General features: G+C 42.4%; 1 protein-coding gene and 1 pseudogene across 7 annotated transcripts in view; one reads left to right on the forward strand and one right to left on the reverse strand.

Annotated features, from left to right (window-relative positions):
- The window catches only part of DENND2B (DENN domain containing 2B), a 217,600-nt gene that overhangs the window by 141,537 nt on the left and 54,127 nt on the right, over nt 1-21,936 (reverse strand). For 3 of the 7 annotated variants that reach the window (NM_005418.4, NM_139157.3, NM_001376495.1), the window contains exon 3: nt 4,422-4,462. The exons of 3 other annotated variants lie outside the window; for them this stretch is intronic. The gene's annotated coding sequence lies outside the window, so the exon portion shown is untranslated. Of the gene's footprint in view, nt 1-715; nt 871-4,421; nt 4,463-21,936 lie in introns of those variants that run through there. One more of the 7 variants, NR_164814.1, reaches the window with a different exon arrangement.
- Nucleotides 10,375-10,470, forward strand: RNA5SP330 (RNA, 5S ribosomal pseudogene 330; annotated as a pseudogene).

The raw sequence follows: 21,936 nt of genomic DNA on the forward strand, positions 1-21,936 counted from the left end.
AAAGACACAAAACAATACCTCTGTAAATACTAGCAATAAAACAAAATGTAAGAGGAATAAAATTATATCATTTTTGGCCAGGCACGGTGGCTCACACCTGTAATCTCATCACTTTGGGAGGCCAAGGTGGGCGGATCAATTGAGCCCAGGAATTCAAGACCAGCCTGGGCAACATGGCAAAACCTATCTCTACAAAAATACAAAAATTAGCCGGGCATGGCGGTGTGTGCCTGTGGTCCCAGCTACTCGGGAGGCTGAAGTGGGAGAATTGCTTGAGCCCAGAGGGTGGAGGCTGCAGTGAGCTGAGATCGCGCCACCACACTCTAGCCTGGGCAACACAGCAAGACTCTGTCTCCAAACAAACAAATAAATAATAATTTTTACGTGTTTCAAATTGTGGTCCTGGAAGAAGGGCAGGTTAATTAAAAGATGGATATCTGGGGGGAATCTTTAAAAGCATTCTCAAGAACAATAGTGATGGCACTGATACTTCAAACCGTCTACTTTCATTCCCAAATGTCTGACTGTCCTTTCAGAAGTATTCTTGGTTTCACACTTTACCAGCTATGATCAAAGCTAGCTTTTATCCCACAGGCAAAAAGGAAAGGGGATAAGGAGGGTTTTTTGGGAGGCAATTAAGCAAAATCATAAGGACAGAAAGAGAAGGAAAGATGGGGATTAAAGAGGATGTGAGTAGGATCTGAAGAACACTTACCTGAGGGAGACCTAAATTACCTGTGATTGGTGAGAGATATAGAAGCCAGCTGGTTCATGACTACTGAGAATCGGAGTGCCAGGGAGGACGCACTGGATATTATGTGACAGATACCAGTTGGATCACCTGCCTAGGACAACTTAAGATCAAAGAATGGGGGAAAATACCAAATGCCAGACACAGGCTCACAACTCTTATCCAGCCCCAGATCAAACTATTACTTCAACCAGACATCGTTGGCATTCGCAAGGAACACGTCTACAGAGCCTACGGGGAATGCTCACTGCCTGTTCTCCTGAGCTGGCTGGCTGAGTACCGATCTATCTAAAGAAAATAAACTACCCCAGAGTTCTATGTCACCTAGCTCTAACAGTCTCAGGAAAGTAGGAGGCATCCTCATCGGGGATGTAGGTCACAGTGGAGTTAGGGCTTATGGAATACATAAAAACATGGTGAATATAGGGCCGGGGATGGTGACTCATGCCTGTAATCCCAGCACTTTGGGAGGCCGAGGTTGGTGGATCAGGAGGTCAGAATTTGGAGACCAGCCTGGCTAACACAGTGAAACCCCGTCTCTACTAAAAATACAAAAAAAAAAAAAAAATTGCAAAATAACAGAGAAGTCCTACTTGAAAGTATACAGAATCAATTATGGAGCTCTTCTGCCCAGAAATATTCTACTTAGCTCCACAACTTTCTCTAGCAAGTTTCAGCAGCCTGAGAGCCTCCCAGGGTTGGGCACAGCAACAGTGAGCATGGGTCCTCATCCTCATCACTAACCCTGCAAAGACAAGCATCCTTCTGTACTTCTTTTTTTTTTTTTTTTTTTTTTTTCTGAGACGGAGTCTTGCTCTGTCGCCCAGGCTGGAGTGCAGTGGTGCAATCTCAGCTCACTGCAACCTCCGCCTGCCAGGTTCAAACGATTCTCCTGTCTCAGCCTCCCAAGTAGCTGTGATTACAGGCATTCGCCACCATACCCGGCTAATTTTTGTATTTTTAGTTGAGATGAAGTTTCACCATGTTGGCCAGCCTGGTCTCAAACTCCTGACCTCATGATCCACCCGCCTCAGCCTCCCAAAGTGCTGGATTATAGGTGTGACCCACCGCGCCCGGCTACTTTGTTGTTTTTGAGACAGGGTCTCACTCTGTCACCCAGGCTGGAGTGCAGTGGCACGATCTCAGCTCACTGCAGTCTCGACCTCCCTGGGCTCAGGTGGTCCTCCCACTTCAGCCTCCCGAGTGGATGGGACTACAGGCACACACCACCACACCTGGCTAATTTTCGTATTTCTTATAGAGCTGGGGTTTCACCATGTTGCCCAGACTGGTCTGGAACTCCTGGGATCAAGTGATCTGTCTGTCTTAGCCTCCCGAAGTGCTGGGATTACAGGCGTGGGCCACCATGCCCGGCCCTCAGTACTTCTTTAGGAGAATTTCTGCCCGACAAAGGACCACAGAACAGCAAAATACTTTGGAGATTGTCTTTGTCCAACTCATTCTGTACTGGAAGAAGCCAATGCAAATCTTTAACTGGAACAAAAAAAAAAGTCTAAACTATGCAAGATCTGATTAAATCTCAGTCATTTCAGAAGGGTACAGGGATAAGGAAGAAATGTAGCTCTGTCTGAGTAAGTGTATTTGGGGAGGAGGGATGGGGATTACATAGGCAGAAGTTAAACCATTTTGTTTCTTCTTCAAAGGCCTGCCTCTCAGGAACACCAAGAGGACACCTACTCAGTTGTTTCCCTTTATTTTTCTTTTTGAGATGGAGTCTCGCTCTGTTGTCCAGGCTGGAGTGCAGTGGCACGACCTGGGCTCACCACAACCTCCACCTCCCAGGTTCAAGTGATTCTCCTGCCTCAGCCTCCTGAGTAGCTGGGAATACAGGCGCCCGCCACCATGCCCGGCTAATTTTTGTATTTTTAGTAGAGATGGGGTGTCATTCTGTTGGCCAGGCTGGTCTCGAACTCCTGACCTTGTGATCTGCCCACCTCAGCCTCCGAAAGTGCTGGGATTACAGGCGTGAGTCACCACATCCAGCCGTTTCCCTTTATTTCTTAGTTCTTGATGATAGGGTCCCCCAAATACCCTCCCCTTCCTTGCTGGAACCAAATCATACCACCCTCAGGGTACAAGAATTTGAACATAGCCATGAACAGAACCAACAATCAATAAATGTAGAGCTTGGACATGTTAGCAAACATCGAAGGTCTCTGGAAGCTACAACTTCCAAGGACCAATCTCCGCATGATGGAGAAATCAAAGCCAGGTGAAGATCTGGGCTGAGTTTCAAATATTCCTGAGTTTATGAAGGAGGTGGAAGGTGGGAAGAAGAATTCTGGAACTGAACCCGCAGAAGGCTAAGCCTCCCACATCCCAAGGGTGACAGCAAACACGTGTGGACCCACAGCAAGCCGAGGCATGGACAGGCAGTTATCTCCTTAAGTTATCCTCGTCAGAGAATTTCCATCAGTTTTTCTTACCACGTTTTATACTTTTTCAAAGTGACTACATATATTACTTTTATCTGTTTGGAGTCATCTGAGTTCCCTTCCAGTTCCACTAAGGATGCTCACACTAATGGTTCTCTGCCTCTTGCCTGTCTAGTCTTTCCTGGATCTCCCAGGCTTACTCTTTAGATTCCTATCTCATACCCACAGAGTCCTGTCTTCTTCACCATGAAATAAGTTCCCCTCTAACAAAAGGAAATTCAGACATACAAATGTGCCTTGCGCAAGATCCCACCACAAACTAGTAACACTGCAGGGATTAGAATCCAATTCTCCGAACTCACGTCCACCGCTCCTTCCAACTGACCACAACACCTCCGTTATAGGAGAAACATCTGCCCTACAGCACCACGACCAAGAATCAAAACAGTTTACTGCATGTCTTTTTAAGCAAAACAACACAGCCAGAATGTTTGGCAGGGACTAACTAAATATTTCCTCTGTGACCTATGCCAGAGAGGAAAACTGTGGGAGTTGGGTAGGCACAGCACAGAGGGAAATCGAAGAGACCACTGCAAAGGCCAGCAGATGGGTGACAAAAGAGGAAAAATGCAATCCTAAACTGAGGACAAGCTGGGAACAAAGGAATCCGAGTTTTAAAAGTGGTTGAGATCTAAAGATAGGATTGTAGGTCTAAATGGGAATGTTATCTAAGAGGGAAAGCATTTACGGAAAACTTAGGAGGACTATCTTCATGACCTTGGGGCGGGAAAGGAATTCTTAAAGGACACAAAAAGTGCTCACCAACACAAAGCTTGATCAAAAGGATATGGAGCTAAAATCTCAGAGCAACATAGAAGCAATGACCATTCTTAGGCCTACAACACAGATGTATGCTGAAGCAACATAACACAGGAATCCAAGCCTACTCCCAGCACCAAGGTCTGAACTGAAACCTGGCTTAGAAAAAAAGCCCAAAGGCAAAACATTAACTTTCCAGTGAAGAAAAAAGGAGGAAGAGAGAAAGAGAATGGATACTAATTTGGCCTAACAGAAGCTAGAATAAAGCTTGCAACATGATAAGGTACACAGGAATCTATGAGAATGAGATGGAAGCCCTGGGAAACCAGGAGCATCATCAGTGGAATCAGAAGGAAATTCAAGGGACCCGAACAAGGATCTTTGCCGGGGGAACTGAAGAAGTCACTGTATGGAACTAGATCCACTGATTTAAAAAACAAAAGGTAAAAACCTACCTGAATTATCCAAGAAAGAAACTCTCCAAAGGGTGTGAAATCTGTGAAAAGAGTGGAAAGGTTGTTACCACCAAGTAAAATTCACTTACACTTTCCAATAACCTTTAAGAAAGGGCTTCAAATAGGATCCCTTAATTGTATTAGAGGCTCTGATATTGACACTGTTCAACTGAACAAGAAAGGTGGGCGGGGAGTTCCACAGAAGAGCAAAGGGGTCTGAGGCCAGCTTTCTACCCATGCTCAGGGCAACAGGCTTTCCCTCACTTCTGAGGTGACCACACCAGCAAACTGGGCCACCAGTGGTCCCCCTCCCCAGTGACCCCTCCTGTCCTCTCACAAGCATTACATACAGAGTGGGGAAGAGGGAAGGAAAAAACCTGGAGCTCTTAACCTCAAAGGGTTTCCATTCTACTCAAAGTGCCAGGACACACATTCCTAAGGTCCAGAACCCTTGCATCAACACCTCAGCTCAAGAAGCACCCAGGAGCAGACCAGACTCTGGGTTGGGAACACTGTTTTGTTAGGAAGGAGTGCTGATAACTACAGCAGAGACAGGAGAATGAGAAAAGGACTAAGAGAACCCAGGGGAAGGGAATTTCAGGAGACAGATGAATTGCTTCCTGATTATGAACTGATCCACTTACTGGACAGTCTATGAGACAAGGAGTTAAGCTAAGGGGAGTTTTGGGGTTTTTTTTCAAGGCAGCTCTTCCCCAGGTGGAAAAATTGAGAGCACAGACAAAAGGAAGGAGTGACCTCCCTGGAAGCAGGGAAATCCCCCGCCCAATGCCTCATTTGTAATCAAGGGCAGCGAGAATGAGACTAATGTAAACAGGCCAGGGAAGCCAGCATGCCCTTCTCCAGAGAGGCCAACACACACACTTCCCCCAGCACAGCCCCTGGAAAGGCAGAAGTAGGTATTCTCTTGGACAAAAGAGAGGGGACTTGGGGAGTTCCCAAGGTGCTTTCAGGCTTTTCTGTTCCCAGGCACTCAGCATTCACCAAAATTCCAGGGCACCAAGACCACAAAAAAGGTGAAGCTAAGATTCTGCTGCTTGGAGGAAAATGCAGTTTGCAAAAAGACCCCACAAGAAAGGCTCAGAAGAAAATAATAGGGCTGAACGGCAGGACCACTCCCACATCTGAGCACCTAGGCCTGAGTCGGGCAAGCTTCCCACACCCCTCCCAGCACCAACGCAATGAACAGCTGCCCTGGAGAAAACAATGGGGCCTTTGTCTGTGCCTTCTCCTGTAGATCTCTTTTTGGAGAACCAAACAGGATAATTCCTTTACAAGAGGGGCTCTCCTAAATATCAGTCCCGGCCAAGATGAAAGTTTTTACCATCCACAGCATCCCTCTCAAGTAAGACTCCTACCCGTTCCATATTGGGCAGGAAGGGTGCTGTGCAGTATCCAGCCCCACCCCACATAGGAAGCACTGGCAGACAGGTCCTTGCAGCCCCTTCCTGCAGCCCTCACCAGTCACACACAGGAGCTGCTACTCCTGCTTTCTTCCTGGCCTGGCCACGGAACTGAAAGCCTAAGAACTGTTCTCACTCCCCTTTTGCCATCCACCAGAATATTCCATATTGAGTGAAATTACAATGCTTGTTGATACTGTTTTCATCAAAATCTGTCAAAATGGACTCCCAACAGTAACTGTGATTTTAAAAGAAAAAGGCATGAAACAAGCTGGACAGTCAAACTTCTCTTAATGTTGCACTACTAAATAAAAATTCCCAAACTGACAAATATCAAGAAACTTACGCTGTCATTTTCCATGATTCAAACATCTTAAATCTAACCTAACTATATAATAGACAAGTGGAAGGTTCTTTCTTTGCTGTCTTATTAGCCCATTTTCTTGACTTGTTTTTAATTTATTTATTATTTTGATTTGCAAATGTCTCTTCTTATATGTTGTGAAGATGATAATAGATTTGAGGTTTTTGTTTTTAGTCCCTTTGCCTAAAAAAAAAATTTAAAATTTTTCCTATATTGGTCCAAATTAAGAAACAAACAAACAAACAAACAAAACGTGTGTTTTTGTGAAGCCAGGTGCCTCACGCCTGTAATCCCAGCACTCTGGGAGACCAAGCTTGGAGGATCGCTTGAGCTCAGGAGTTCGAGACCAGCCTGAGCAGCATAGTGGGACCTCATCTCTACAAAAAAAATCTAAATATTTAAAAAACTATCCAGGCATGGTGGCACACACCTGTATTCCCAGCTACTCAGGAGGCTGAGGCAGGAGGATTGCTTGAGCCTGGGCGGTCGAGGCTGCAGTGAGTTATGACTGTACCACTGCACTCCAGCCTAGGTGACAGAGTAAGGCCATGTCTCAAAATAAAAGAAAAACGTGTTTTGTAAAATCCCATATGCCACATTTCTCCCATTTTCCTTCATTGGGTAACTGGTAGCAGATGAATTCAGGACCCACTTCTTCCGAACCACCACCATGGACTACATGACATGGCACAAAATTCCCTTTCCATGAAACGGAAACAGTCTGAGCAACTCCTGATGTCTCTCTCCTCGATTCCTCTATTCTAACCATCATTCTTCCTCTCCCCAAACACCTCCAGATCAAGGGTACTTGGGTTTTCAGGCCAGTTAGCTGGATACCATGAGTTCCCCAGTTCAATCCAGAGTATCCCCCATTCTCCACGATTTCAGCACAAGGCGGCATCACAAAGTAGTAGAAAGAAATCTGCAATCAAATGAACCAAAGTTCAAATCCTGGATCTTCAGTGATTTACATAATTTCTCTGAGTCATGATTTCCTCCTCTCTGAGACAATCCGTTCACGAAAGTATCAAGTTGTGAACGGCACATAGTAGGTCCCCGGTGCTGACTCATTACTTCCTTGACAGGTTTCTCTCCTGTCCTCCCAAAAAAGATAGGCTTTTTAGAGACTTTTTTAAAAACAGGGAGCTGGAAATACTGATATTAAGAAGACATTGTTCCACAAGGAATCAAAGTCGTGCAGTGTCCCTTACCTTGCTGTGCTGGTCACATTCCGATGACTGCCCTCAATTTCTTTCCAGCCTCTCTTAGGAAAGGCCCAGAACATCTATTTAATGGTATAAACCTCCATTTCTCCCTCTCAAGAGTCTGGAGTTATGAATTATTAGGTGGCTCAGGGTTCTCTAAGGGTAAGGCTTTCAGTGTCATCCTGGAAAATATTAAAATGTGGAAAAACCACTCATCCCACCACCTCGTGTTTCTGTGTGGTATCGACTCGACCCTTTATGGTTTCCTTTTGGAGTGCATTCAATCTGCCCTGCGCAAACACCACATCAGGTCTCTATCACTGTGCTAAACAAATGTTCCAAATGGGAAAAAAATTGTCATAAATATTTTTTGGGACTGCTCACAGTCTTATTTCACTGCACTTATTTCAAGTCTTTCACTTATTTAAAGTCTTATTTCACTTATTTCATGATGGAGACATCATGAAAGACAAAGAATTCCCTGTAATTCCCTGTACCAGAAAAGTGTCACACGTGCTACCTTTCCTGAGACCAAAGAGTTTATACAGTTAAATTCTTTACAGTAAGGGTGATTTCGTAAATGCATACATTCAGTTTGATTTAATGTTTAGGACTCTGTAAAGGCTTCTCATGTAAGCAAATTCAAAAATCAGGACAAAAATCCTGTACTGGCCTAAGGATCTCAAATTTTGGCTCCAAAATTAGAGTTGCTCTTCTTTTCTCTCTTTTTTTTTTGAAATGCAGTCTCACTCTGTCACCCAGGCTGGAGTGCAGTGGCGCGATCTCGGCTCACTGCAACATCCGCCTCCCGGGTTCAAGCAATTCTCCTGCCTCAGCCTCCTGAGGGGCTGGGATTACAGGCAAGTGCCACCACGCCTGGCTAATTTTTGTATTTTTTGTAGAGACGGGGTTTCACCATGTTGGTCTCGAACTCCTGACCTCAGGTGATTCGCCCACCTCGGCCTCCCAAAGTGCAGGGATTACAGGCGCGAGCCACCGTGCCCGGCCGGAGTCACTCGTCTTAATAACAAGCTAAAGGCCCTAATTGAGCATGTGGCCAATGTGGAACCTTAGGCTGCAGCACTAAGCCCAATCAGCCCATTGCTACTAAGTACAAAACCTGCAAGAGGAACAGACTCTCAGTGGGCCTCAATTTCTTCCTCTAGCAGAATGTAAATAAGAATCTCTGCATTTGTAAAAATGTCCAGAAGATTACTAAGATGGAAAACAGTCACTGGGAAGGAAGCACCCCTTCAGGGGTCATTCTTGGCCTCACTTGCTCATGCCTGGCCCTTGGCAACAGCTACCTCCACAGATCTCCAGCCCCACCACCGCCTCTCCTTTCCAAGCCCTCCTCTCATACGGAATACACAAATCCTGTCACAAATAATACGCTGTCTGGCTGCCGTAAATCACCATCCTGCTCATGCCACCCCTGTGCTTTCCCCCAAGGTTGATCCTGATATTCTCTACCTCCAGACCCTTTGCACACACCACTCCCTCTTCCCAGAATGGCTTCCCTCCTCTGTTTGCTAAGCCAACTCCAACAGTCCCTCAAGATGCCGCTCCCACGGCACCTCCTTTGGTTGCTTTCTCTGGCCATGGGCTTCCCTTGCATCTTCTCCTCAACATTCTTTGCTTTCCTCTGGTCAAACATCTGTATCATACTCCATTGTAAATGTCTGTTTATCTTATGTGCCCTAAAAGAATGTTATATTACCCTCCTTACATTTAATATTTAAATTTTTGCATCACAACCAGTAGTAAAGACGTACTTTCTGCCATATTCTAAATATTGGCATTTTATAAATATTTACAGGCCTGGCACAGTGGTGCATGCCTGTAATCCCAGCACTTGAGGAGGCTGAGGTGGGAGAATGGCTTGAGCTCAGGAGTTCAAGACCAGCCTAGGCAACATAGTGAAACCTCAGCTCCACAAAAAAATCGAAAAGTTAGCCAAGTGTGGTGGTGCATGCCTACAGTCCCAGCTACTTGGGAGGCTAGGTGGGAGGATGGCTTGAGCCCGGGAGATCGAGGCTGCAGTGAGCCATGATTGCACCACTGTATTCCAGCCTGGGTGACAGAGCAGAACTCTGTCTCGACAAAAATGTTTTATTAAAAATAAATAAATATTTACATTTTTAAATTAAATACAACATTACTCTCTTAAATGAATCTAAATGATCCAATGGACTCTAAATGCCATAGTGGATCATCTATTTAAAAGAACATACATTTTATACTATGCCTTTTTGTTAACTCTTACTTCCTTTTATTTCGTTTTCAGAATTTTATCCTAATATTTATGCTTCAAAATCTTTTACTGATCAACCTATACTTCTCTGCAATATATATATTAGTATTATACATATATACATATAAATGCATAAATTTTTAAATTCTGCTATGATTATAACCTCAATTTTTTATTCTATTTATTTTATTTTTTTTTAGAGACAGGGTCTTGCTGTATCACCCAAGCTGGAGTGCAGTGGCATAATCATAGCTCACTGCAGCCTCAAACTCCTGAGCTCAAGCAATCCTCCTGCTTCAGCCTCCCAAGCAGCTAGAACTACAGATGCCCACCACATTGCTCAGCTAATTCTTTCTATTTTTTATTTTTGTAGGAACAGAGTCTTGCTTTGTTGCCCAGGCTGGTTTCGAATTACTGGCCTCAAGTGATCCTCCTGCCTCGGCTTTCCAAAGTGTTCAGATTACAGGTGTGAGCCACCACATCCAGGCTATAACTTGTAAATGTTAAAAAAAAAATTCTTCTTCTGGATTGGGTTTTCATTATCTTTATTGTTTGAATATGCAAATGATCAAAACATAATTGGTTTAGAAATTGGTACTATTATTAAACATAAAAAGTAAAATTTTATTCAAAATGCATTAATTTTTCATTTTTATAGTGGTAAGCACCAAGAAACCTTGTTCACATAAATAACTAAACAGAAGTGACAGTCTACAGCCATACTACCCTGAATGTGCCATCTCGTCTGATCTCAAAAGCTAAGCAGGGTCAGGCCCCGTTAGTACTTGAATGGGAGAAGTAAAATAAATTTTGCTATAGCAATATCAGTATCTTTAGAATCACAAGTCAAAATCATGTCATGACCTATAATCAAAAATTATTTTTAATTATCTACCAACTGACAATGCCTTCAATTTTGTTGAAAGCAAGAATTGGAAACCATCTGACTTAGAAAAGGATTTGCTACTCACAGTCATTCACTTTCCTAATAATAGTCCTAATTGTTCCTTTGCTTGTTAATCTGGAGGCTTTCACACATCAGGCACACAAACAGCAAGACTCCAGATTAATAATGACTATGTCTTCCTTTTGTAAAGTGGGAGAAGAGTGATTGAGAAAGGAAACACCTTGAGTGCAACTGAATTCTCAGACAGATCAGCCTTTGGAAAGGGGACATAGAAAGTCAAGGATCTAGAAAATATACCCTGTCTGAAGACTACTAGCTTATCTGCCTCTCCCACCAAAACAGTGGCATTATCAAAATTAACATTAAATTATGTTTATTCGTGGATAATTACTGTTATATTTTAACAGAAAGAGACTGAAGACAGCCTAAATGTGCTCAATAAAGGTCTGATTAAATAAATTACAGAGTGTCTAGAAACCAAAAATACACGGTTTCTCTTCAGGACTGAATCAAGTCCCTTCAGAATCAGGGCCCACACTTTATTCCCACAGCCTCAGCTCCTACAAGCCCTTCGAAGGTCCTCATGTGCATCATTCCCCACTGCAAGTAATGGTTTCTAGATGGGAAACCATGGTCCACAGAGCAACACAGACAGGGACGTGCCAGAGGACATAAGGACAGTAAGACCTAAAGTGTACTGCTGAGGCTTGTTATGAACACTCATGGAATTGCAACCTGGAAGCCTATGTCTGGGGAAAGGGAGAGGGGACAGTGTCTATGCTAAGAGAACAAGTAGCAAGGAGCCAGAAGAAGGCTGAGTGTGGTATGAAGGAATAAATACTCAAGAAGCTGGTAAGGCTGGTGACATTGGAAGGAAGATCCCCCAACAGGCTGCTGGCCCTAGAGGTCAGGGCGCTATCTATCCTTGGAAGAAGACAAGTGGAGGACAGTATCATCCGAACCAAAGCAGCGCCCAGGCTGAAGGGCCCACTGGGCAGACACTCCAAGAGAAGGCTCATGGTCATCACAATGGGGAGGAGGGGAGAAGAGGAGTGAGCCAAGACGCGGCTGCTTGCGGACAGGGCAGAACCTACAGATGGGAACAAATGAACCTGGTTTCATAAAACAGCTTCCCTCCTCTGTGCCCCAGAGTAGTCCTCCCAGTTAAAGTCCCCTTTCTCGTTCTCTTCACCAAGTCAAATCCTGCCAACCTGCCAAGGGCCAAGATGATGCCCCTTGTTCTCCATGCAGCCTCCTCAAACACTTCTGCTTATAGTCAGTTCTTCTACCTCTAAACCCTCATCATTCTCTGTTTATACCAGAGGCGGCCTGCAATATTTCTAAACCGCTCCATGATCCATTTGTATTTTGATATTAATCCTTAGCTCTTTGCTGTAGGTGTTTGATGCCTCTCTGAAGATAAGGCTTGTGACTTAGACATGTTCCTGTCCCACAGGGTGACCCCTCAATGCTTTACTGTGCGGGACACCTACTTGCTTACAGTTCCAATGGACACACACTGTCTCCTGCCACTCATCCAAATGTCTATCTCTTTCACAAAATTAAAGGTTCATTATATACATGTGGATTCTGAATTCTTGGGTCTTTCATAGTCTTTGGCTTAGGGCTTCACACTTGCTAACCACTCAGTGAAACTTCTCCAGAGTCAGTCATTCAGCTGCTGCTCTACCTGAGGCTGTAGCACCAATGAGCCAGCTCTCCAGAGACACGCCCACATGGTACAAACCACGTTCTAGTGGAGAGCATTCTCCCATCATGGGAGGCTCTCCCTTCAAGCTAATCTTAACAAGAATGAAATGGGAATTTGGAATTTCGTTTCCCTTATACAAAGTCACTTCCTAAAATGGGGGGATTATAATTAGGTGATCATTAATTACACTCGCCATTACAAAATTCAAAATACCTCAATTCCTTTACCTTTTATAACGAACATAAAGTGGGATCTCAATAGTATATTTAAAAGAATTTCTCACAAATCTCAGTAAATACAATACAAATAAAATAGTTTGAAACTATGAAAGAAAGATCAGTAAACAGAGAAGAATGAATATATAGGAAAAGGGTATAAGCAGTCAAAGAAAACAAAGCTTAACGATAGAAAAGAAAAGAAAAGCTAATCCCTGTAATGGAATGCCTTCCTCACAGCAAGCTCTCAATATTTGTCATCAAATTTACAGAATGGCTGATATTGATTCTCAAGGCAATGAAACAGACTACGCAAGTGCTGGCTGCAAAAGAAACAGAAACGTAAGGTCCATACTAAATGAACTGATGAATGCAATAAAAACAGAAGTGATGCTACAGAAAAAACTAATCAGAAAAAGATATAAAATACAAAAATATATTTTTCAATAAAAGATTCAAAGCATGCACAAGATGACAAGCACAAGAAGGAATGCAGCTCAGAGAACTATCCCGCAAATGATCAAAGTCTTTGAACAAATGGCCTCAAATCTATAAAGTTTAATAGAAAAAAATGCTATCTAAAAACAACAGAAGGATTTGCTCTGAGTACAAAAGATGTACAAAATCATCAACCAGAGACTACCACTATGACATTCTCATATTTTTAAGCATAAGAAAAAGAAAAAACTCAGCAGGCTGAGAAGACCCAAATCCAAATTTCTTCCAATTTTGCAAAGGATACAATTAAAGTCCAGAGATGCATATAAAACTCTCAGAGAAAGTATTTTTACCTCCAGTGTAACAAGGTGAGTAGACTCTTTGAGCAAGTGAAAAAGAAATATCTCTTAGAGCTTTGATCATACCTGAAGAAATTTACCCATCACACACTTCACTTTAAATTATGTCCAAGAACAACTGTAAATGAGACTTAAATGTTTTAAGTTTTACAAATAAGACCAAAGAACCCAAATCAATAATTTCCCATTAAAAATAATAATAAAATGTTAAATAGGGAAAGAGCAATTGTCAAAAACACATTATTAATAAAATAGGACTGCAGGCACGTGCCACCATGCCCAGCATTTAAATACCAGACAACATTGAGACAACTGAGGACATTTAAATATGACCTGAATAACAGATGATATTAAGGAATTATTGTTAGTTTGGTTAAATGTGAGAGAGTGGTTATAGATTTTTAAAGTTCTTATCAAATATGCTTCCCGAAATATTATTGGGTAAATAACATAATGTCCAGGAATGGAGGAGAAAGATAAAATTGGCAAAATGTTAATAATATTTGAAGCAGATTAAGAATATATGGAGTTCATTATACAGATGGGAACAATGGCTATCATTATTCATAATAGCCAAGATACTGAATCAGTTCTCCTGACTTTTGTGCATATTTTGAAATAAGAAGTTTTTTAAATTAATATTTATTGGGTATCTACTGAGTACCAGGTATTGCTTAGGTATTTGACACAAAAATAAAATGGCCTCAAGAAAAAAAAAACAGTAAAGCAGATTCTTAACCCAGGGTTTATCCAGGGAAATATCCATGATTTCTATGGGTGGCTAAATCACAGGTACTGCCATTACTGCTGTTTTATTGCCTATATTCATAATAAAAAAGAAATACTAAATTTCAATCGGGGTGGATGAAAATGATGTAATTTTTTTTTTCCTATCCAAGTTGCAGACCCTTCAAATTCTACCCATGGACCCCCAAGGGTTGCACCATTCTGCAAATATTCACTGAACACTTAAAATAAGACAGTCACTGCTAAGCACTAGGGATACAAAGGTGAAGAGAATACTACAGGCCGGGCGCGGTGGCTCACACCTGTAATCCCAGCACTTTGGGAGGCCAAGGTGGGTGGATAGCCTGAGGTAAGGAGTTCAACACCAGCCTGACCAACGTGGTGAAACCCCGTCTCTACTAAAAACACAAAAATTTGCCAGGTGTGGTGGCAGATGGCTGTAATCCCAGCTACTCAGGAGGCTGAGGCATGAGAATCACCTGAACCTGGGAGGTGGAGGTTGCCATGAGCCGAGATCACACCATTGCATTCCAGCCTGGGCGACAGAGCTAGACTGTCTCAAAAAAAAAAAAAAAAAAAAAAACAGACAGAAAGACTGAAGAGACTGATAAGGCCAGGCATGGTGGCTCATATCTGTAATCCCAGCACTTTGGGAGGCCAAGGTGGGCAGATCACTTGAGGTCAGGAGTTTGAAACCAGTCTGGCCACATGGTGAAACTCCATCACTACTAAAGATACAAAAATTAGCCAGGTGTGGTGGCAGGCACCTGTAATCCCAGCTACTCAGGCGGCTGAGGCAGGAGAATTGCTTGAATCCAAGAGGCAGAGGTTGCAGTGAGCTGAGATCGCCCCACTGTACTCCAGCCTGGGTGACAGAGGGAGTCTCCATCTCAAAAAAAAAAAGAAAAGAAAAGACCAATAAGGCTGGGTGCTGTGGTTCATGCCTGTAATTCCAACACTTTGGGAGGCCAAGGCAGGTGGATCACTTGAGCCCAGGAGTTCAAGACCAGCCTGGGCAACAAGGTGAAACCCCGTCTCTAGAAAAAATACAAAAATTAGCCAGGTGTGGTGGTACATGCCCATAATCCCAGCTACTCAGGAGGCTGAGGTGGGAGGATCACTTGAGCCAAGGAGGTCAAGGCTGCAGTGAGCTGTGATCGTGCCACCTCACTCTGGCTTGGAGGACAGAGGGATACCCAGTCACACACACACACACAAAAACTGATAAATTTCACATTAAATTACTAAAAATTTTTGTATGTGGAAAACAAAGTTAAAAGACAAACTGTGAAAAACATATGTAGTATATATGAGTTGTTCTTAATATTTTAAAAGTTGGTAAAATGCATTAAATAAAATATAAAACTGCTTGATCTGATAAGGGGTTAATACCCAAAATATATAAGGAATCAACACAATAGTAAGAAAACAACTTATTTAAAAATGGGCAAAGGACCTGAACAGACGTTTTTCAGAAGAAGATATACAAATGGCCAACAGGTATATGAAAAAATGTTCAACATCACTAATCATCAGGGAAATGCAAATTAAAACTACACCGAGATAACACCTCACACCTATTAGAATGGCTACCACCAAAACGACAAAAGATAATAAGTGTTGGAGAGGATGTGGAGGTTGACGGGAATATAAAGTGGTACAGCCATTCTGGAAAACAGCATGGAGATTTCTCAACAAATTAAAAATAGAACTATCATATGATCCAGCAATCTCACTACTGAGCATATATCCAAAGGATATGAAATCAGTATGTCAAAGAGCTATCTGCACTTCCATGTTCATTGCAGCATTATTCATAATAGCCAAGATATGGAGTCAACCTGAGTGTCTATCAACAGATAAATAAAAAAAGAAAATGTGGTTTATATACACACAATGGAATACTATTCAGCTATAAAAAAAGAAGGAAATCTTGTCACTTCCTACAACATGGATGAACCTGAGGACACTATGTTAAATGAAACAAGCCAGGCACAGAAAGAGAAACACCACATGATCTCACTTATATGCCGAATCTAGAAAAGTTGAACTCATAGAAACAGAGGGTAAAATAACCATTTTACCAGAGGCTAGGGGATGAAGGGATTGGGGTGATGTTGGTCAAAGAACACAAAATTTCAGAGAGATAGGAGGAATAAATAAGTTCAAGAGATCTACTGCACATCATGGCAACTATAGTTAATAACAATACATCACATACTTGAAAATTACTAATAGTGTAGATTTTAACTGTTCTCACCCTCAAAAAAACATAGGTATGTAAGGTAATGTATGTTAATGAGCATGACTTAGTCATTCTAAATATATATATATATAAATCAAAACAGCACATTGTACATCATAAATATATACAATTATTTGTCAATTTAAAAATAAAATAACAAAAACATGTAAATCATAAAAGAAATAGAAATTAAACGGCCATTAAATATATGAGAAAATATTCAAGCTCCATAGCAATCCAAGAAATGGAAATTAAAACAGAAATGCAATACCATTTTTATCTTATCAGATTTGCAAATACCGATTATCTTCATTCTTTTTAGTTTGGCAAGAATGGCTGGAAACAGGCACTCTCGCTCACGCTAGTAGAAGTGTACAGTGTACACAGGTTAAAGACTTTCTGGAGGGCAATTTGGCTAAGCACATCAAAAGTCCTTAAAAATGTTCATCCCTTTTACTTCTAGGAATCCCCAAAATAATCAAGGAACTGCACTAAAATATGGGTATAAGGATATTCACCATAGCATTTCTGTAATAGTTTAAATACATAGGGGGGGACAAACTAAACAATAACAGGAGATTAAAGTAGATCAAATATTTAGTATTTTGTGAATATTTTTTAATTCGTTTTAAAGTATTCATATATATTTTGGTATATATATAAACACTAATTATCTCTGTGTAGTAGGATTGTGGGTGATCTTTTTCCTATTTTCCAATTTTTCTAGAAAGACCATGAATTACTTGTATGAAATTCAACTAACTAATTAGGGGGGAAATGCCCCATTATCCCTGGGCTCCTGAAAGCCCAAAGCCACCAGTAGAGGAGAAAAACGTTATAGGTATAAAAGCAACTCCCTATAACAGTTGTTGCTTCTGGAGAGCAGAGAAGGCCTTGATTCTGCCTGGAGCTGAGTTTTGAAGGATGAATTTGCCAAAGAATAAAGTGAGGAGGGCAAGAGACTATCAAGTGCAAAAAATGAAAGCGCCTACTATGTTGACAAGCTACATGCAATTTCGGCGTGGCAGAAGGGCAGGGTGCAAGTGGAGGACTGAAGTAAAAGCCAGATCACAAAGACTTCTGAATGTCACATTAAAGGGTGGAATTATCCTGTCAAAGAAGAATCAATAAAGAGCTTTCGTGGTTCATTAATATGGGGATCAAAAAAAGGTAAAACAGGCCAGGTTCAGTGGCCTATAATCCCAACACTTTGGGAGGCCAAGGCACAGGAAGATGGCTTGAGACCAAGAGATTGAGACCAGCCTGGGAAACATAGCAAGACTTTGTCTTTACAAAAATAGTAAATAAACAAGTAAATAAGAGAAAAGAAAAAACAAATGATAACAGAAGAGTAATTGGGATAGGAATGTGGATACTGTCTGGGAAGAGGCATCAGGTGACCTTCTGAGATGCCAGAAATGCTCCACATCTTGATCGGAGTGGTAGTTATAACAATGTATGCAAACGTTGAAATCCATTAAGCTATACATTTAAAATTTGCGTACTTTACTGTGTTACTCCTCAATAAGAAAGCAAAGAGCTTTTAGCAAAGAAGTATCACAATTAAACTATTCTAGAAAGCTCATTTGTTCAGCAGCCTAGAAGACTGAACACCCTGAGGCAGCACTCTGAGAAATGAAAGCTGCATTCTGGCAAAAGAGGGTCAAGACTTTGGCTGGATTGGAGGCAGCAAGACAGTAAGGAGAAGGACGATTCATGACACATTTGGGAGGTGGGCCTGATAAGCTTTTATGAGTGTGACTGCTAATTAAACTTCGTGATTAAAATTCATGTGAAAATCTAACCCCAAGGTGATGGTATTAAGAGGTGGGGCCTTTGGGAGGTGATTAGATCACCAGGGCTCTGTCCTCATAAGCAAGATTGCTGTCTTTATGAAAGAAGCTTCGGCCAGGCGCGGTGGCTCACGCCTGTAATCCCAGCACTTAGGGAGGATGAGGCGGGTGGATCACCTGAGGTCAGAAGTTCGAGACCGGCCTGGCCAACATGGTAAACCCCGTCCCTACTAAAAATACAAAAATTAGCCGGGCGTGGTGGCACACACCTGTAATCCCAGCTACTCGGGAGGCTGAGGCAGGAGAATCTCTTGAACTCGGGAGGTGGAGGTTGCAGTGAGCTGAGATCGCACCATTGCACTACAGCCTGGGCGACAAGAGCACAAAACTCCATCTCAAAAAACAAAAAGAAAAGAAAAGAAAGACGCTTGAGGGAGCCTGTTAGCCTCCGCTGCCAAGTGAGGACACAGCCAGAAGGTCCTACCTATGAAGAGCAGGCCCTCTCCAAACACCAAATCTTGGGCTTTCCAGGTTCCAGAACTGTGAGCAATACATTTTTGTTGTTCACAAATTACCTGGCCTAAAGTATTTTGTTATAGCATCCTGAATGGACTAAGACTATGGGGAAATCTGAATATGGTCTGAGTATTAGTTAAAATAAAAAGTTACTGAATTAGAAAAGTGAACGTAATTGAAAAATAAGATAGAATAAAAAACAGTATATATAGTATAATCTTACTTTGGTAGAAAAAGAATATAAATATGTACATCTGTATGCGTAGAGAAAGACCTAGAAAGGAGAGGACTAAGATTTTTCTCTGGGTGTTGGGAAAGTGAGGTTTTTATTTTTTTAGAATGTACTGCAAAGCAAACACTATATTTTTAATTTTTTTTTTTAGAGACAAGGTCTCACTCTGTCGCTCAGGCTCAAGTGCAATGGCACAATCACAGCTCACTGCAGCCTTGAACTCCTGGGCTCAAGCAATCCTCCCCCCTCAGCCTCCTAAAGTGCTGGGATTACAGGTGAATGCCACCATGCCCCAGTTAATTTTTTTTTTTTTTTTTTTTTTTTTTTTTTTGTAGAGACAGGATCTCACTTTGTTGCCTAGGCTGGTATTGAAGTCCTGGCCTCAAGCAATCCTCCTGCCTTGGCCTCCCAAAGTGCTGGGATTACAGGTGTGAACCACCATGTCTGGCCATATATTACATTTTTAAAAGAACCTATTTATTTATGTATTTATTTATTTATTTGAGACAGGGTCTTGCTCTGTTACCCAGGCTAGAGTGCAACAGCACAATCTCAGCTCACTGCAACCTCCACCTCCTGGGTTCAAGCAATTCTCCTGCCTCAGCCTCCCAAGTAGCTGAGATTACAGGCGTGCACCACCACGACCAGCTAATTTTTGTATTTTCACTAGAGACAGGGTTTCACCATGTTGGCCAGGCTGATCTCAAACTCCTGACCTCAAGTGATCCACCTGCGTCGGCCTCCCAAAGTGTTGAGATTACAGACATGAGCCACAGTGCCTGGCCTAAAAGAACCAATTTAAAGTTGAAAGTTGGAAATAATTTCTATTCTGTAGTTTTCTATTAAAGGAGCTCACAGACACAAAAAAAGCAGCAGCCACTGGGTATGATGGCTCATGCCTGTAATTCCAACACTTTGAGAGGGCAAGGTGGGAGGATCACTTGAGCCCAGGAGTTCAAGACCAGCCTGGGTAACATGACAAGACTCTATCTCTATAAATTATTTTTCTTTTTCCAGACAGAGTCTCACTCTGCCACCCAGGCTGGAGTGCAAAGGCATGATCTCGACTCACTGCAACCTCTTCCACCCAGGTTCAACCGATTCTCATGCCTTAGCCTCCTGGGTAGCTGGGATTACAGGCCTGTGCCACCACGCCCAGCTAATTTTTGTATTTTTAGTAGAGATGGGTTTTGCCATGTTGGTCAGACTAGTCTCAAACTCCTGGCCTCAAGTGATCCGCCTGCCTCGGCTTCTCTACAAAAAAATTTTTTTGAAAAAATTAGCCAGGCATAGTGGCCCACATAGTGGTCCTAGCTACTCAAGAGGCTGAGGTGGAAAAGATCACTTGAGCCCAGAAGGTCAAGGCTACAGTGAGCTGTGTTCACACCACTGCATTCCAGCCTGGGCAACAGAGGGAGACTCTGTCTCAAAAGAAGAAAAAGAAAGAAAAGAAAAAAGAAAAGAAAAGGGAAGGGAGGGGGAGGGAAGAGTAGAGAAGAGAGAAAAGAAAAGAAGAGAACAGCAAACCTCAAACGTGTAGTGTACAAGCTGGCTCCAGATGCCAAGCAAGGAGGGGAAGACTATCTCGCTCAGGCTGGCAATCTAAAGGCTCAATAAAGCACTCCTCTTGGGCGCCCATCTTATGTTCCTCTCTTTTATTCTGAGCAGCAGCCTCTCTAGATGACGGGAAAATTTAGCCTGATGGATCATGATGGATCATGCTAAATTTTCCCATCATCTAGAGAGGCTGCTCATCTGCATCATTCATTCTAAGAAAACAAGACACCAAGCCCCTGCCAGCATCCCCACAGTGAGCCAACGGAGCAGGCAGATGCAAAGAGCCCGAGAAATACCAAGTGCTGTGCACCCTGTATCCACACAGTAGGCAAAAGCAACTTTCATAGGAAGGAGGAAACAGCACGCCGAGAAGGCTCTTCTTTGGGATTACATGGCAACAGAGATTCTCCTGGAAGGGTTTCTAACTTTAGGGCATCATCAGGGAAGTGCTGTCCTGATGGAGCTGCCCAAACTTAATACAAAGGAGCTAATTTTCGTTTGTCTCAAATTTAAAGACAGGGATTAGGGAGAAGGTGTAAAGGGCAAAGGGAAGGGCCCAATCCAAACAGAATAAGGAAAGGGGATACATTGCTGCTGACTATACTCTCCTCTGGGAGGAATCCCAGCAAACTAGACAGCTGCCAGATCTACCTGGTAAATTCCAGTCAACCAGCTAGAGAATTGGAGAACTCTCTCCAATTCTTGTTCATCTTCAAAACTGTCTGAGCACCCAACATATGTTGCCTGTTACACATAAACATTCAACAACTGAACACAAACATAAGTGAACAGGCTGAACCAACTGAAGGTTTATGGACCAAGCTGTATAACGTTTGGGGCTAAAAGAGCTTAACATGAAATAGAATCAAATGTTAATGTTCCATTAATAACATTTGATGCAATATGATCAAAAGACTGAAGCTCTAGTACCCAGCACAGTATCTGGTGTTTAAGAAGTGCTCCTCAATAAATATCCATTGAATGTTAAATGATCCAGGATTTTTTTCTTGCATCCAAAACTTTCAGATCCAGTAGAAGATATTATTTAAAAGTCTGTGTTCTCACTTTTATGCTGACTTTCAAAGTGTTTTGTTAGAGATGGAAAAAGATTTCTGGGTATGGAAAAATTTTTAAAGTATCATACACTGCCAATTCACTGGCCTGGTACAGGCTGTATCAATCTGTTCTCATCAGCTCTGGTTGAAAACATATGTGGACTACCTGAATGGGCCTAGGCTTGAGCACAACTTATCCGTCCAAAGCATTTGTGGGCCCAGGAGACAGGTTTTACTTCCACTGGTCACACGTGTCCAAAAAAAAATGTGCAAGGTTGGTTGGAAGTCCCTGGATGCCTGACTCCCCAACCACTATATTGGGCAGCTCCCCTGATGGAAAGGCAGGCCCAGGCCCTCTCTGGGCAGCTGCTCCCATTCATTTCCGTCTGTTCCTTCAGTCTCTCCTCACTCTATCACTATTTTCTTTTTTTTTTTTTTCTTTCTTCAGACAGGTCTTGACTGTCACCCAGGCTAGAGTGCAGTGGTGCAATAATGG

This window comes from Homo sapiens, chromosome 11 (genome assembly GCF_000001405.40).
Source record: "Homo sapiens chromosome 11, GRCh38.p14 Primary Assembly".
Classification (NCBI taxonomy): domain Eukaryota; kingdom Metazoa; phylum Chordata; class Mammalia; order Primates; family Hominidae; genus Homo; species Homo sapiens.